The following is a 17,637-nucleotide window of genomic DNA, read 5'->3' as shown; positions in this document are numbered from 1 at the left end:
AGTGTATTTGTGGGTCCCCTTCTGGAAATTCTTTCCTATTCCATTCATCCATTTGTCTACCCTTACACCAATACCACTTTATCTTGAGTAGCTCATGTTTTTAAGCAGTAAGGCCAAGTTTTGAAAGTACTCAACTAGCACCTACATGTTCCAGACTCTTTAGATATGTTACCTATGAACATCATATGAGGTAGATACTATTTCCTATCCTCGACTCCCCAACACATCGTAGTTGCAGAATATAAGACAAGTTGAATAGGTCACATTCAAGCACCAGCGGGTGTTGTTACAAATCCCATAATTTTGCTGCCTCTCCAGAAATTAAGTACATACACCTTTGCAGCGCATTTAAGTGCCACCTAAATGATCCCATCATATTGCCCCAGTTACATGTTTTAATGGTTTCTTTTTTTTTATTATTTACCTTCAGCCAACCCACACCATGTCTTAGAGGTACTCAGTGTTTTAAACAAACCAGGTATCTCGTGGTTTTCTGAATATGTCCCGCCCTTCTCTGCACATGTGCCTTGGTGGCATGCTTCTTTGCCCACCATCTATAGTGCTTACATCCAGCTCACATGTATATTTCCATCTCAAAAAGTCTTCCCATCAAGCTATTGCAGAGCACCACAATCAAATATGATGCCTCTGCTTTGCAATTCTTAAACGCCACTTTATAACTCTGATGGCACTCACACTATTCTGCCTTATATATTTTTTTTCTGTATTCTCGTCCAGTTTTGCCCACTAGGAAGAAAACTCCTTGATGGAAGTGTATTCGTCGTCTTTGTAGCTATTGGATACACATTTCAACAAGTCCGAGTGAAAGAAATTTTTTGAGACAGCCAAATAATGTTGTGATCAAAGTTAAAGAAAGTTTAAAAAAGTGAACGGGTTAACCTAGCATGTGATCCGGGAGAATCCCAAAGTCTATTCTCTCAATTTAATCCCTTTAAATATTTTTTTCCCCAAATCAGATCTTTCCAGTTGGAAGACTCTCAGGACTGCAGCAGAGATTTTGTGGAGATCCGTGAAGGAAATGCCACGGGTCACTTGGTGGGACGATACTGTGGAAACTCCTTCCCTCTCAATTATTCTTCCATCGTTGGACATACCCTGTGGGTCAGATTTATCTCAGATGGTTCTGGCAGCGGCACGGGCTTCCAGGCCACATTTATGAAGAGTAAGTTGTTTCTATTTTAGTGATAGCTTCCAGAATATGTCTTACAAACTAGAAATAATAATTTTCTCAGTAATATATTAAGCAAGAACAATCCTAAACTCTACACTATTTTCCTACATTGTCTTTGTGAATTACCTTATAACATATTAGAAAAACTGAATTGCATATGAATGGCTCAATAAGGGCAAGGGAGAGCACTCTCAATGGTTCTATTGTTCTTTTTAAGCTCTAATTTCTACCTAATGTTAAATTAGTTTTTTTCATGACGTTGTGTTAGAGTCTGGTAATATATTATAGTTTGGGTTTGGTGTATTTATATCAAGTGTGTTTCATTTGATTTCATAAACTCTACGTTCTTCACATTTAAGACATTTAGTATTACTTTGGGATTGGCTTAAGTGCTCACATATAACAACAATAGGGGATTCTTCTAATAGTATAAAATGTTAAATATTTTTATTCTCTAGCTCAACTTTTCCATTATTGGCTATTTCATATGTAATTTCAAACTATCAGTTTTTCTTGTAAATTTCTTTAAATGTTCCATTCTTTTGAAAAACAAAGTAAAATAGATAAACCAAAATTAGAGAGTGGGGCTGCTCACCCCACCTTCCCATGTCCCCAAGTCCCCTAGGGGCTCAGAACCCCTTTTCACATGGGAAGTTGTGGCCTCTTTTCACACCATGCAACGTTTTAAGGACCTTTTCTAAGGAAGTGATAGCCCAGAAACCAAAAAGGAGGCAGTATTTCTTTCCCTAGTCAGAAAAGAAATCACAGTCAATTAAAAGTCCATCCTTTTCAACACCCTTTGCCTTTTGTTTTTTTCATTTGATTAAAGAGCAATTCTAAGTGGGTCTGATTTACTACTCTGTCTTCCCTCCTAGTATTTGGCAATGATAATATTGTGGGAACTCATGGGAAAGTCGCCTCTCCTTTCTGGCCTGAAAACTACCCACATAACTCCAATTACCAATGGACAGTAAATGTGAATGCATCTCACGTTGTCCATGGTAGAATCTTGGAGATGGACATAGAAGAAATACAAAACTGCTATTATGACAAATTAAGGGTGAGTTTCCACATGCAATCAATGTTCATAAATATTGGTGAATTGCTATTGGTAAAAATAAATCCAAGGTAACGTCTATTCAAGCATTTGCAAATCATGTGGGATAGTCTGCTCTAAATCATGTTTAGAGCAGACTGCCTCTAGATTACATGGACAAAGGCAATTTCAGTATTGTATTTATTATTTTCCATTTCATATCTAAGGGGTTTTTTAGGATTATTATAATTTTCCTGTTGAGCTTTGTCTAAGCATGCATGTATGTCCTAAATAAGTATTTATTCTGTCTTATTTCCTACTATCCTCTTTGTTTTTATGTTAGAGTATTAAAAATTTTAATGATCATATAAAAATAAATATAAATATAAAAATCATGGTGATCATTGCTATCCAGACATTGGCTACCATATCAGTTCCAGAAACACAATCGGATGCTTACAGGCTATGACCCCACCTTATTCATCTTGGATTCTTGGTCATGAATAGATCCCAGTGCCTGATGGGTGCCCAATATGTATGGGAATGACTATTACATAATTTGTTTGGTAGAGTATTTTATAATAACTGTTCATATGAATTTGTCCTGAGCTATTTAAAAATTATCACAGAATATGCCTCAAAATAGGTAATTTGAGATTTTAAAACCAAAGGTAGGAGATTTACTAAGTGCTTTGAACATGGTGAGCCCTACAAGTTTTGGCTATTTTGTTGTCATTAATTCTTCTTTCCTTCTGTGGAAATATGGACTCCTTTAGGATACCTGTCCACTTTCTCTCATTAAAGCTTTTCTCTTCTTGTTATTTTCCCTTCTTTCTTCCTAATTCCTCCCTTTGAAGCCCCAAAGCACATTTATTAAGTACTGTTGGTAGGCAACCATCCTGGTTCCTATTTTTCCATCCACAAATTTTACTGTAAATCATCTTATGAGTGATTCCCACAGTGCATGTTTATTAATATAATTCTGCAACAAAGATGCAAATGTTTTCAAAACATTAAATTACCTTCAATAATATTTTATATTCTCTGGCAGTATGTGTTTTAAGCTAAAATTAAATGTTTACTCATTTGTCATTTTTTTGTTATGATAACATTGTAATAATATAAGGCATCTTTTTTATTTTATCTTTTTATGAAGAAAAATATAGATAATACAATGCTCTATTATCTGTTTTTATGTACAGATCTATGATGGGCCTAGCATTCACGCCCGCCTAATTGGAGCTTACTGTGGTACCCAGACTGAATCTTTCAGCTCCACTGGAAATTCTTTGACATTTCATTTTTACTCCGACTCTTCAATCTCAGGGAAGGGATTCCTTCTGGAGTGGTTTGCAGTGGATGCACCTGATGGTGTTTTACCTACCATTGCTCCAGGTGTGTTTGGTAATAAATGAAGTTCTTTTTAGGACTGATATGTGCAGGCCAATGTTTCAAAGGATCCTATCATAACAGGGGTCAGATATAAAAATAAGTACAGCCCCAAAGCCCTTCCACCATATGTTCAGATGTTGTTTTAAATTCATAAACACTACCTTTTGTAGAAATTGTACGTTTCTTTCTAAAAAATGCAGGTCCCATTATATTTTTTATATTAATTAGGGGCTTGATATCCATAAGATCGTCTACTTACAATTTCTAGAGACCACTTTAGAAATCCCTGAAAATTTGATTTGCAGATACTACACATGTACATTCACACACACACACAATCAGTTAGTTAAGGATCAACTCATAAAAGTAACTATTTTTCCTCTGCATTTTATTTCAAATGTAGCTTCAGAAATGCTTCAGTTTCTCCTTAGCTGGTTGTAAATTTCCATGTTTCAAAGTAAAATGGGCCGAATTTTAAACTTTTATTTTACTTTTTTACATTCCTAATCCCCTCAGTGAAAGTGATATTGAGCTAGCATTGTTTGGGGAGACTTTTTTCTTGAAAAATTTTTAAATGAGACCGGGTGCGGTGGCTGATGCCTGTAATCCCAGCATTTTTGGAGGCAGAGGTAGACGGATCACTTGTGGTCGGGAGTTCGAGACTAGCCTGGCCAACATGGCAAAACCCCATCTCTACTAAAAATACAAAAATTAGCTGGGCGTGGTGGAGCGCGTCTGTAGCCTCAGCTACTCGGGAGGCTGAGACATGAGAATTGCCTGAACCAGGAGGCAGAGTAGAGTTTGTAGTGAGCCGAGAACATGCCACTGCGCTCCAGCCTGGGCGACAGAGTGAGACTCCGTTTCGAAAAGAAAAGAAAAGCAATTTATTTAAATGAATTTGAGCGTTTCTTATGGATTTCAGGATTGACATAGAAGAAATTAATCAGATATTTCTTGGAGGATATTCTAAGTCCTTGAATGCTTGATTGGAACACAGAATCACGGTATCTCATTGAAGAATATTCGAACTCTGAACTTGTTCTATGACTTAAAAGATTAGCCTATTTGCTTCTAACTTCTTATATCAGCAGAAGTCACTAATGAAGATAATTTGTACTTATATTTATTTAATGTCCCTTAGTATTCCATTCTGAAATGTTGTTCCTACCTCTCTAATAAGGTGCTTTCATGACACTGAATACAAATCTCTTACTTAAAATATTGATCTGTCTATCTAAGAGCAAAGAACCATCAGCAAGACTGACAAATGCAATTTAGAGGCAACATTTAAATCTGGATGGATATATCCAGAGCTCTTAGAAATAAACTTGAGTTAAGCTTTCTTTTATATTTACAACCCTCAAGGTAGAAAAGGAATTATTTACTTGTGTAAAATATTATACCAACAAATTTTCTTCTAATATTTTATTACGAAATTTCATAATTATATGATGTAAGTGGACAGGTGAAGAAGAGAGCCATAAACCTTATTTTTCTTAGTCAAGAAGAAAAAGAAAAAAGGAAAGTAAGGGGTCAAGAGAATTTTAGAGTTTACTAATTATCTAGATGGCATAAGTGATTATCCTGTAATGATACCACACTGTGAAAGTGTCATTAAAACTTAAAAAACCTTAATATTTTGAAATATGTCAACTTATTGAGCATTGTCCTATCAGTATTTCTTTCTTTTTTTTTTTCTTTTTTTTTTTTTTTTTGAGATGGAGTCTCGCTCTGTCGCCCAGGCTGGAGTGCAGTGGCACAATCTCGGCTCTCTGCAAGCTCCGCCTCCCGAGTTCATACCATTCTCCTGCCTCAGCCTCCCAAGTAGCTAGGACTACAGGTGCCCACCACCACACCTGGCTGATTTTTTTGTATTTTTAGTACAGATGGGGTTTCACCGTGTTAGGCAGGATGGTCTCGATCTCCTGACCTCATGATCTGCCCACCTCGGCCTCCCAAAGTGCTAGAATTACAGGCGTGAGCCACTGCATCCGTCCTGTCCTATCAGCATTTCTTATACACACATATATTTATTTTAAATCAACGCATATTTATTGAGAATTTATTATGGATACACTGAGAAGACTAAGAAAGGAAAATGAGGTACAATCTCTACTCTCCAGGAGCTTAAAAGTAATGGGAACCAGGCACAGTGGCTCATGCCTATAATCCCAGCACTTTGGGAGGCTGAGGCAGGAGGGTTGCTTGAAGCCCAGGAGTTTGAGACCAGCCTGGGCAACAGAGGGAGACCCCATCTCTACAAAAGATTAAAAAAATTAGGTAGGCATGGTGGTGCATGCCTGTAGTCCCAGCTACTCAGGAGGCAGAGGCAGGGGAATCACTTGAGCCTACATGCTGCCAGTGAGCAGTGATCATGACACTGCACTCCAGTGAGACCCTGTCCTAAAAATAAATACATAAATAGTAAAAATAAATAATAAATAAAAGAGATTGGGAAAGAAAAAACACTCATATGTGAGTTAAGTAATGGTATCGTAATTAAATGGGTACATGACAAAGCAAATGGTAACAGTAGCAAATAAGCAAGGGAAGAAAAATGAGCTTACTGTGGACTAGGGTCAACTGAAGGAAATTCAATGTGTCAAGTAGGAAAAGCAGTCAGTGTGTCAGTCAGGAAAAGCTCAGCCATATGGCGGTAACAAACAATTTCAAACTCTTAGGTGCTGAAAACAACAGGTCTCCTTCTACATGTTCCTCTCGTGTTAACTGGGTGCCTCTCATCATCCATCACTTCCTAACTCAGGCTGTTGGAGCTGCCATTGTCTGCGATATTGCCTGAGACCATGGCAGTAGGCAAAAGAGCCCTTGGATGTCTCGGTTTAAAAGTGCTCACTGTAAAGTAACACATGCCTTTTGCTCATAGTTCATTGGCCAAAACTGGTCAAATGGCCTCTCTCAGCCACTTGCAGAATGCAGTTCTACCATGTGTTTGGAAGTGGAGACAAAGGAAATATTTGGCAAACAGCACTAATGACCCACAGTCATTATAACCATATTTTACAAATTCAAGATAAGAAATATTTCACATAGAGGAAAACCTTAAAATTTGAAGATACTGGATAACATTCAGCATTCAGATTTTCCATGTGAAATTGCTTTAAAAAAATCTGTAGCCTACATAGTAATAGGGTAAAGAAATCAGGACCTAGTTCTACAACATTTTATATTCACTTCCTGTTGGCCCTGATAAGATTCAAACATATTATGGTGTACAAGTTGTAAACTTCTGAAATGGTGAAGATTGGATCTCTGAAATATATTGCTACATAAAAGTGATGGCAAAAATAATTGTTAAAATCAACTTTTTGAGAACTCTGGAAATAGACCAAAGCCTTATAGCAATCTGCGGCATATTTATTCAAGAAAAATCACTGAATCTAAGTAAGAGTCATTTTTGTGGCATTCTCTTCCTATTCCCATCTCTCTCTCTCCTCCTAGCTTTGTAGTAGCCTCATGACCACAGTAGCTGTGAAAATGAGCAGCTTTAACAGCTGTGGGTGGTGGGGCCGCAGAGGTCCAGAAAACAGCGCATCTCCTCAGCATTGCCATTATTCCAGTTCAGCAACTTCCTGGAAAACTGCATTCTCAGGTCTTGTCTTCACAGGACCTGGGCAAGAGCTCACTCTTTTGTAAACAGCCCTGTCCCTGGGGTCTTTGCCGAAAACAATCAGCAACAGCTGTTTCACATCACAACCGTGCAAGGCAGTGACACCAGTTACAGCTAATGAGAAACTGACCAGTAAACTTGAAAGGAAAAAATGGGGAAGGAGATGCCCACTGGGGCTTTGAAAAGCTCCGACATGTTTCTGGAAATCTAGAAGGCCACACACATAGCCCAGCTGTGCACATGCCCAAAAATAGACCCCGAGAAGGACCTAATCTGTCAACTCAAAATTGCCTAGATATAAATTACAAAAGTAACTACGCAAAAATGATAAAGAAACATGAGAAACACAGGAATGAATACAGTTCTACCTCAGTAATACAGGGGATCCTCTACGTGTCTTTATTGATGCCTAAATAGTCAGCACTTGATATTAAATGGGTTATATAGCAAAATTATGGTGAAAATGGAGAACACAATGCATTTTTTTTACATCAAAGATCAATTGCGGAAATTGCAGCTTTCCGAATCAGTGGGTTACATACGATATTCATTGATTTCTCTGAGAAATTGTTTCAATTGGTTGCTTCTTTTCAGTAGAGGGCTGTCACTTTCAAGTGAAAAAGTGCTAGCTAGCGTCTTTTCCATTAGGGCTGTGTCAAAGATGTTGCTTTCTATTCTACAGGTGCTTGTGGTGGCTTCCTGAGGACGGGAGATGCACCCGTGTTTCTCTTCTCCCCGGGCTGGCCTGACAGTTACAGTAATAGAGTGGACTGTACGTGGCTCATCCAGGCTCCCGACTCTACCGTGGAACTCAACATTCTTTCCCTGGACATTGAATCTCACCGAACGTGTGCCTATGATAGCCTTGTGATACGAGATGGTGAGAACATTATAAAGAATGCTGAGTTTCAACCCTGACACATAATTAGTTCTAGTCCATTATCATCAGACTTGCATACTGCCTCCATCCGTTTGGTTTGGAATTACACAGATATTATGGTCAAGGAAGGCATCAGTACCAGAAATGGCTACAACTTCTGAAGGACATAGAAAGTATTAAATTACCGGTCACAGAATATCAGGAATAGCACATTTCTATAAGGAAAAAAGGCTTTTTTAGAGGCTTAAGAAGGAAAGAATAGTCTGAATGTCAACATTGTTCACCTGTCCTATTGAGATACCTCTGAGATAAATATTGATATTTTATGTTTCTGGCTGAAAAAAATACTTATAATTGTAATGTGACTGGACATAGTGGTTCACACCATAATCCCAGCACTTTGGGAGGTCGAGGAGAAGGATCACTTGAGTCCAAGAGTTCCAGACCAGCCTGGGCAGCAGAATGAGACCCTGTCTCTAAAATAATAATAAGAAGAATATAAAATAGTAATGTATTCATTTCTCTTTGTCCCCTGAATGTGGGTAGAATAGGTAGAGTTAAGGGGTGATATTGTTGTATTCTTTCCTTTGTACACAGGCATGGTGTTGCTATGTGACATAAAGTTAGAGACATAAATATTGCTGATGTATGCCTTATACAAAATTGGGCTTCACAGTCTGCATGGACTGGAATGAAGGAGGACAGCAGAAAGGCCACATCCTCCACGTCAGTATTTCTCAGTGTGGCCCCCAGATCCACAGCATCATTTGTTAGATGTACATGTTCTCAGCAAAAAGAAACGTGTTTGTCTTTGGCCCACAGGTTGCTAGTGTGCAAGATCTTGTCTCCCTTATCCCTGATCCCTAGACCCCTGCCGAGTGAGAAAAATCGAATGGTGAAGGTGCTTTATGTCCCTTCTGTAGAGGCAGAACACTAAGTAGAGACTCAAATCAATCATACACACATGATGAGATGTCAAAGCATGACACTCCCCCTTTTTCCCATCAGCAATCGGCTATCAGCACGTTGCACAGAGGAGTATCAAAGCACCAGAATGCCCTCTTCACATCTAAGCCTTCCTGTGCATACTGAAATTTAAAACTTTTCATGTAATGGAAAGGATGTGCATCCTTGCACACATATTCTAGTGTTCAGAACCTACTAGAAGTTTTAAAAAATATCTTTGAAAAAAATCTTAAGTAGGTAACTGCATCTATGAAGTAAATTATGGTTATTCTTTTAAAATCACATTCCATTGAGTTGTTTTTGTTCCATCACTAACTTCTCTTGGAAGCAGAGAGTCTGGGGAGCAGTCCTTTTTTCCTGTGTGGCTTTGCACAGGTCACAAAGTGGCTCCAAACCCGTTCTACCTGTGAGATAGACAAATACCTCCCTCACAGGCTTTTTCTGAGGATTAAGGAAAGTAATAAATGAAATCTTTTTAGCAAAAGTACAAGCATTTTGTAGATGATGAATTTGGAATAGTTTAGATTTCAGTTTACTTAGATGGAAATTTCTAAGAGAGGTTTAATCAGTGCCCTTGCTCAGGCACAGGGCGGCTTGAAAGAGCTAAAGAAACTCAGGTGCGTGCCAAAACAACACAAATGTTTTAAAGTGGTTATGCGGCCTTTCCGTATGGATTCCTTTTTATGCACTGGCAATGTGAGTAGATGCTCAATAAGGTTCCTTCCTTCCTCATTTGTTTAATTATTTATTCAAGAAATAGTTATTGAGTGCCTGGTCTGTGTCAGTTGGTGAGTATTGTAGTCATTTACACATTGTTAATATATTTTTATGACTAAATTTGATGTTTTTTTTTTTTTGAGACGGAGTCTCACTCTTTTGTCCAGGCCGGACTGCAGTGGCGCTATCTTGGCTCACTGCAAACTCTGCCTCCCGGGTTCATGCCATTCTCCTGCCTCAGCCTCCCTAATAGCTGGGACTATAGGCACCCGCCACCGCACTCAGCTAATTTTTTTTTTTTTTGTATTTTTAGTAGAGGTGGGGTTTCACTGTGTTAACCAGGATGGTCTTGATCTCCTGACCTCGTGATCTGCCCACCTTGGCCTCCCAAAGTGCTGTGATTACAGGTGTGAGCCACCACACCTGGCCTATGACTAAATTTTAAATCCCACTTCAATTATTTGTTCTTTGCCCAGCCAGCCTTTTGCTTCTGAGTAGCAGAAGCATGTAACATTCTGAAGCAAATATCTAAAGCCAACTGGCCACAGACAAAGATACTTATAGGCTATTCCTGCTCATGCAATTGGCCTGTCATCACAGGCCTTTGGCCGTATGGAGGCTGTGAACCTTCCTGGGCTACCCCAGAGAGGGTCATGCAGCATTCTTGGGAGAACTGAGTCACTGTCCCACCTGCTTATTCATTTTATAGAGTTGCCATGGTTCAAAATGAATCAGTTTCTTCCAGACCACGCATCTACCCATTCTGTATACCAAAGATCCCTCCAAACTGAGAGTCCATGAAACTACATTGGTCCTAGCAAAACTTTTAAATAGAAAAGAAATTGTATAAAAAAATCAGTAATCCTTTAATCTAGTTCCAGATCTTAAGTGTACTTTCTTCATGACCTTAGATAAATCATTTAATAGCATGGTTTTGGGGCATCTGAGGTTAATCTGCAAAGGTTAACATCACTGTTAACTTCTATCTCTATGCCCTTGCATACAGCAAAGTGGCTTGTAACTCCTGTAAGATTCAGTTCCTCATATACAAAATGGGGATAAAAATAAATGCCCACCTAATAGTGTCACTGTGAACATAAAATCAGATAGTACATGTGAAGCACTTAAAGGGGTATATACTAATTGCTCAATAAATGTCAGTCTTGAATAATCTTGGGGCCTCAGTGTCTATATCTGTAAATTGAAGAGGTTGGACTAGAGAAAGAATTGCCAAGTTGCCTTCTAGTGCTAGCCTTTACTGTTCTTTGACTTCCCCTCCTCTTTAAAGATTAGGCTCAAGATTAGGCTCAATCTTTCTGCAATCTATATGTTGAGGTTTTGGAAGGCTCCAGAAATACCCCAGTACTCAGTATGAAGACTGAAGGGGTGGATGGGCAAGTAACAAACCATCTGTGATTTTTGGGTCATCTTCCCACTAATGAGTAGGCTAATCAACAAGCACTTATTTTGAGATAAGCATTGTTTCACCAGATGATCTGGAGTGAATTTTAGAAAAGAAATCAAAATCAATAGACTCAACTCACTTTCATCCAGTGATAAAATATACACGTGAACTAATAACATATAATAAACTTCAAAATTTTGTAGTACAGGTAATCAGAGAATAAGTCAACAAAAAATAATATTGGGTGAAATGTGTAGCAAAATAGCATAATGAAGTGCACTTACTATAAATGCAAAAGAACTATAAGAGATACACTTTTGAATTATAAAGAATGCAAAAGTTTCCAGCGATCAGAAACCCTCCAAAGAATGCCATTTTGAGCATTTTGTATTTATAACTCTGCCATTACATTTGTAATCACAAGAATAGAAAATAACTTATTTTCTAAAGTGGTTAATAATGAATGAGTTTCAAGTTGTAGTCAGTGCCACAAAGAATCCATGTGGCTGGTTGTATAAAAGGGCATATTTACTCATGTCTCATATTCTATTTTTGTTTTTTATAAACTCGAGATTTATTAATTCTCTGCCTTAGGACAAAAGAGAAAAAAACAACATATTTTCCCAGCCACGGCATCCAAGTCTGCTATAATCCCCTTTGCTCCATTTTGGTTTCAGCCGGCACAGGGGCTTTGATCAAAGCTTATATCCAAGATAATCAAGATGAAAGGAGACGTGTGGTGCCCCTGCTGTCCTTTGTGTCTCTGTGGGGGTGGGGCACAGTTGCTGGAACTCTTCTCTCACCCTCCACACAAATGTGTGGTTGTTTTTATACCAAAACAAACAAAAGCAATGAACAAACACAGATGAAAAGTTTTGTTTAAAAAAACCCCACTGGCACTGAAGAAAGGGCACATACAATTGCATACCTTTTGGTGAATGATATTGTAACATTAGTGTAGGATCTGAGGTCAAAGAGCCAACTGTTTTTTTTTTTTCTTTTACCTACTTGACCTTCAGCAATCAGAGTAACTGAGGTCAGAGTCTCTAATCGACAGACATATCATCACTGGGTCTCCATCGCTTCCCAATCCCAGGTACTCTGATTTTGAGTTTTAGTGACAGGGAGAACTGGCAGCCAGTTTTTAGAAAGACGGTGGAAACTGTCAAAGACGTCTTTATCAAAAAGGGTAAAGAACCCAGCACTTTGGGAGGCTGAGGAGGGCGGATCACTTGAGATGAGGAGTTCAAGACCAGCCTGGCCAACATGGTAAAACCCCTGCCTCTACTAAAAATACAATAATTAGTCAGAAGTGGTGGTTCACCCCTATAAAACCAGCTACTCAGGAGGCTGAGGCAGGAGAATCACTTGAACCCCAGAGGCAGAGGCTGCATTAAACCGAGACTGTGCCACTGCACTCCAGCCTGCGCAACAGAGGAAGACTCCATCTCAAAAAAAAAAAAAAAGGGGGGGGTGGGGTGGGGTGGGGGTAAAGAAAAGGGCAGGAAGCACCATTGCAAGCTGGAGCCAGAATGATATCACCCCTGAGGGGTCCTTCTTTTTGAGGATCCCATTATCTCCTACGAGTCCTGATGTTCTGAGAAAAATGTGTGAGCTGCTTTGGCTAAGCTGCAAATGATTGTAGAGTAGATTCTCAAGATGTATTTTCATGTTGTTCCCTTTCTTTCAACGTAGGAGATAATAACTTGGCCCAGCAGCTAGCAGTTCTCTGTGGCAGAGAGATCCCTGGGCCCATCCGGTCTACTGGAGAGTACATGTTCATCCGCTTCACCTCGGACTCCAGTGTAACCAGGGCAGGCTTCAATGCATCCTTTCACAAGAGTAATGAGTTCAAATATTTTTTAATCCCATGTTATCTCATCTCCTCTCTTTTCCTCTCTCTTTCTCTCTTCCTAATATAATGTTTTTGGGCACCAGGACACAAGACAAGTCAGAGGACATGGGTCTCTGCCCAGGCTCTGGATGGCTGGCTCCCCTTACATCAGTGCTGAGTCCTCATCCAAAGCACTGGGGCCAAGTCGTACAAAAGTGTGCTGCCTTCAGGTCTCTGGTGTGGCATCTTCGCTCCAAAGGAGGTGTGTCCAGGGAATGCATGAGAGAGAGCTTTAAAGCAATTTTTCAGCCTAGCTGAGGGCTGGAACTAGATAGAGCACAGCTCATATCCATAACTCATCGAAGGAGCAAAACGTCATCATTTATTCTCATAAATTACTTGGTTGAAGTCAGCCATCTGAGGGTTGGCAGGAAGAGTTTGTTGCTCTTGAAATATGAATTTGATGAGTCAAAAGCGGGCACCATATATGGGATACCATCATGCACAGTATGATTGAGACTTTTCAAACTTGACATGTGAAGTCCAGTAACAGCCTTAAATCCAAACTAACTGAAAGGTGATAAAGTAGTCCAAGGAAGAGTGAAAGACTCTCATGTTTTGATCAAAAAACATAATTTTAAAGTAGATTCTCAATCTAACATTAAAAATTAATCTAATATTTCCTCCATGCTTATATATACCTTTTATAAAGTAGGGAGCAACTGAAGATAAGTTGTGTTCCTCACGCTCAAGGGAGGCAGGCTGCATAGTGGCTTAAGAGCATGGGCTTTGGAACTAGACCTAAGATACATTTTCACCTCTACAATTTAACTAGCTGTGTGAGATGTCTGCCCTTACTGATGAGCTTCTGGTCCCTGACAACTGGAGAATTAATGCCTCCTCCTTTTATCCTCTTCCTTTATCTCCTGCCCTCTCACTCTCATGTATATATTACTATGTATCGCAACTCATTATACATACATACATGTATACACATGTATGTATATAGTAAGGGTGGAACCATTGGAATTAATATGTGTGTTTATATATGTATATAATATATATAAATATGTGTGTGTGTCTATGTATATATACATACTTGGCAGCTCCCGGTCTAGAATGTATTTCAAATTTAACCTGTGAGTGGTATAATGGACTTTGGAGACTCAGAAGTGGGGAGGATGGGTGGGGTATGAGGGATAAAAAACTACATATTAGGTGTAATGTATACTAGTCAGGGAACCAGTGCACTAAAATATAGACTTCACCAGTATGCAATTCATCCATGTAACGAAAAACCACTTGTATCCCAATTAGACTAGATAGATAGATAGATAGATAGATAGATAGATAGAAAAAAAAATTTCACCTTTGAAAGTTGAACACTTTATTCCCACCCTTTTCCATGCCACCACCCCCCAATTCTACACTCCTCATAATCTCAGCAAATGGAAAGTACATTTTTCTCATTATTTAAGTCAAAATCTTGATGTTATTTTTGACTTTTCTGTTTGTCTCACACTTAACCATCAACAAATCACACTGGCTCTACCCTCACAATGTATCTAGATTCCAACCACGCCTCTCCATTTCTGTTGCTACCAGCCTAGCCCGTGCACCTATCATCTCTCCTTGGCCTCAGGCGGTCCCCTCCTTATTGGACACTCTGCTCCTGTCCTTCCCTGTCCTCCACCCCTTACAGTCTAAGGACTGCACATAGAGTGACATTTTCAAACTTAAGTGAGATCATGCCATTCTGATGCCCAAAACCCTTCAACATCTTCCTCTTCTTATTCAGAATAAGTCTTTTCAGTTTCCTGCATGACCTAGCCATGCTACCTTTGGAATCTCTCATTCTGCCTCATCCATTCTGACTTCCATGATGTACCTCTAACACATCAAGCCTTTACACTGTTTTCTGAACTGGAATGTTTTCTCCCCCATAACTATCTGGCTTGATCCTTCATTTCATTCATGTCTCTGCTAAGATGTTACTCCAATGACGTGGCTTTTCTAACTTAACTCTAACAATAAAGTACCCTTCTCCCTCCTCTCATCCATTTTTCTTTATAGAATTTATCACCATCTCACATATCATGTATTTGTTTATTGTATGTCTTCCCCATCTATAAAGAAATCTTTATGAAAGCAGGTAATTTGTCTTGTTTACTTACCTCTGTATCCCAGATCTCAATGACCACCACAAACTGAGTAGCCAATAGCATGTGCTCAATACATGCTTGTTATGATAATCATTTCCTGCACTCTGGCTTTATTTTCAAGCATTTTTATTGCCTCCACTTTGAAAACCCCCCAAGAAAACTAAGAAAGCATAAAAATCCAGTTGCCAATGCTATTTAAATAACCGACCTTTGTTTCTTTGTGGGAAGGCTGCGGTGGATATTTGCATGCAGACAGAGGGATCATCACGTCCCCCAAGTATCCAGAGACTTACCCATCCAACCTCAACTGTTCTTGGCACGTCCTGGTCCAAAGTGGCCTGACCATTGCTGTCCATTTTGAACAGCCTTTCCAGATTCCAAATGGAGATTCTTCTTGCAACCAGGGGGATTACTTGGTGGTAGGTCTTGCTGCTACCCTTTCTAATTACATTTTCCATAGACTTCATTCAGAAAACAAAATGATAATTTTTCTCTCCTGGGACATAAATGGATAAGAATTGCGTACTCCTTCTTTTGCAATGTAAAGGAGTTGATGAAATTTTAATTTGTCTTTCCAGCTAAGAAATGGTCCTGATATCTGTTCTCCACCCTTGGGACCCCCTGGAGGAAATGGTCATTTTTGTGGCAGTCATGCTTCATCAACTCTGTTCACCTCGGATAATCAAATGTTTGTTCAGTTTATTTCTGATCACAGTAATGAAGGGCAAGGATTTAAAATCAAATATGAGGCAAAGAGTTTAGGTAAGTATTTTCACTGAGAATTATATCTGCTTTTCCTGCAATTGCTTGATCTTCTTTGATATAAAATTTTCTTTTCTGAACCAACAGTAATAGAATTAATAAGAATGCCTACTCTCAAGTACTTATTATATTTGATACATTCAATATCTCATCGTGACTACTTTTCAAGTAAAGTATCATTATTTCCATTTTAAAGATAAATAAAATGAGGCTTGGACTTTTCCAAGGCCACATACCTAATTAGTGACCAAAGTGAAATTTTCCATGAGTATAAAATAAACTATTCTTCTTGATCCCTGGAATTCCTTAGACCTTTCCATTATAAGATGTCTAATTGTAAGTTAATTCTAGTTACAGAAACATTATAAGACTTACATTTGCCTTATTTTGTAATAATTTGTATGCTGTTTTCAAAAGAACACATAATTTTTTGATTCTATTATTACTGATTTAATTATATATTACATGATATCTGTAATTGCTTGTACTTAATTACACTTGATTATAATTGCATTTAATTCTACTGTAATGATTTGATTTTGATGACATTTGCTTTTTAGTAATGTTTAATTGAATAAATAAATAAATAAATAGGCATCACTTCAAAAAAAGGGAGTAATGTCAGTAGAAAGTAATATAATAATAAATTTTTCCTTTGTCCCACCAGAAGTTAGATAATATAGATTTCAAAATGATCCTATGACTTGAATCCCAGATTCATATATATATATATGTAAATGAAATCATATGTTTTATTGCACATTGTATGAGATTTAAAGTCAACATGGTTTCTTTATTTTGGTAAAAGAGATGAATAAGAGTCTTCACCAACTGACACACAAAAATAAGCAAATAGCTTGAGTAAGGTCCAGAACACCAGGGAAGGAGCTTTGGTCACTTCCCAGAGCTCTGGCACAAGGAGGGAGCTTTAATGCAGCTCTGTGGGCACCCGCGCCATTGCTTTCTAAGCTGGGACCTTCTCATCCCTCCATCTCTTGATGCTGAGCTTTGCAGCTGAGTCATGAATGGGCAGTTTTCACCTGGTACCAAAGCATTTCAAGAGTAGCAGTGTCCTGAGTCTAGTGAGTAGACGTCAGCCCATCCTACCCATCCTACATAACTCTACTCTTTTGTTTTTGTTTATAATAGACTCAGTCTTTTTTTTCTTTCTTGAGACAGGGTCTCTCTGTCGCCCAGGCTAGAGTACAGCGGCATGATCTCAGCCTACTGCAACCTCTGCCTCCCAGGCTCAAGTGATTTCCTGACCCAGCCTCCCTAGTAGCTGGGATTATAGGCATGCACCATCATGCCCAGCTAATTTTTGTACTTTTGGTAAACATGGGATTTCACCATGTTGCCCAGGCTGGTCTTGAATTCCTGAGCTCAGGTGAGCCACCTGCCTTGGCTTCCCAAAGTGCTAGGATTACTGGAGTAAGCCACCGTCCTCAGCCAATAGACTCAGTTTGATTTATATTTTTAAAGTCAACATTTAGTGGTAATTCAGATACACTAAGAGATACACTAAGGGTGTGTTTGACATTGCACCTCTTCTATTCCTTTGTGGATTCACTGTTCATGCAAGTATGGTTATGGCCATTACTTTCTCCCTGTCTTTCTTGAAGCTTATTATGACTGCTGTTAACATCAGACTTAAAAGTCTTTT

General features: G+C 38.8%; 1 protein-coding gene across 5 annotated transcripts in view, besides 1 other annotated feature; it reads left to right on the top strand.

The window, feature by feature from the left end:
• The window catches only part of CUBN (cubilin), a 305,846-nt gene that overhangs the window by 188,597 nt on the left and 99,612 nt on the right, over positions 1-17,637 (top strand). For all 5 annotated transcript variants that reach the window (NM_001081.4, XM_011519710.3, XM_011519709.3 and 2 more), the window contains 7 exons: positions 978-1,183; positions 2,068-2,252; positions 3,431-3,623; positions 7,931-8,128; positions 12,912-13,058; positions 15,441-15,631; positions 15,791-15,974. In NM_001081.4, coding sequence (NP_001072.2) covers positions 978-1,183; positions 2,068-2,252; positions 3,431-3,623; positions 7,931-8,128; positions 12,912-13,058; positions 15,441-15,631; positions 15,791-15,974 — 1,304 coding nt within the window. The remainder of the gene's footprint in view (positions 1-977; positions 1,184-2,067; positions 2,253-3,430; positions 3,624-7,930; positions 8,129-12,911; positions 13,059-15,440; positions 15,632-15,790; positions 15,975-17,637) is intronic.
• Positions 11,661-12,254: an enhancer, noted in NCBI's record as "OCT4-NANOG hESC enhancer chr10:16970960-16971553 (GRCh37/hg19 assembly coordinates)". NCBI's record gives its function as "activates a minimal SCP1, AML or CMV promoter by ChIP-STARR-seq in primed H9 embryonic stem cells {active_cell/tissue: H9 hESC(primed)}" and the evidence as "EXISTENCE:reporter gene assay evidence [ECO:0000049][PMID:30033119]".

This window comes from Homo sapiens, chromosome 10 (assembly GCF_000001405.40).
Source record: "Homo sapiens chromosome 10, GRCh38.p14 Primary Assembly".
NCBI lineage: Eukaryota > Metazoa > Chordata > Mammalia > Primates > Hominidae > Homo > Homo sapiens.
Note: the sequence above shows the minus strand (reverse complement) of the source record. Positions and strands in the feature narration are given on the sequence as shown.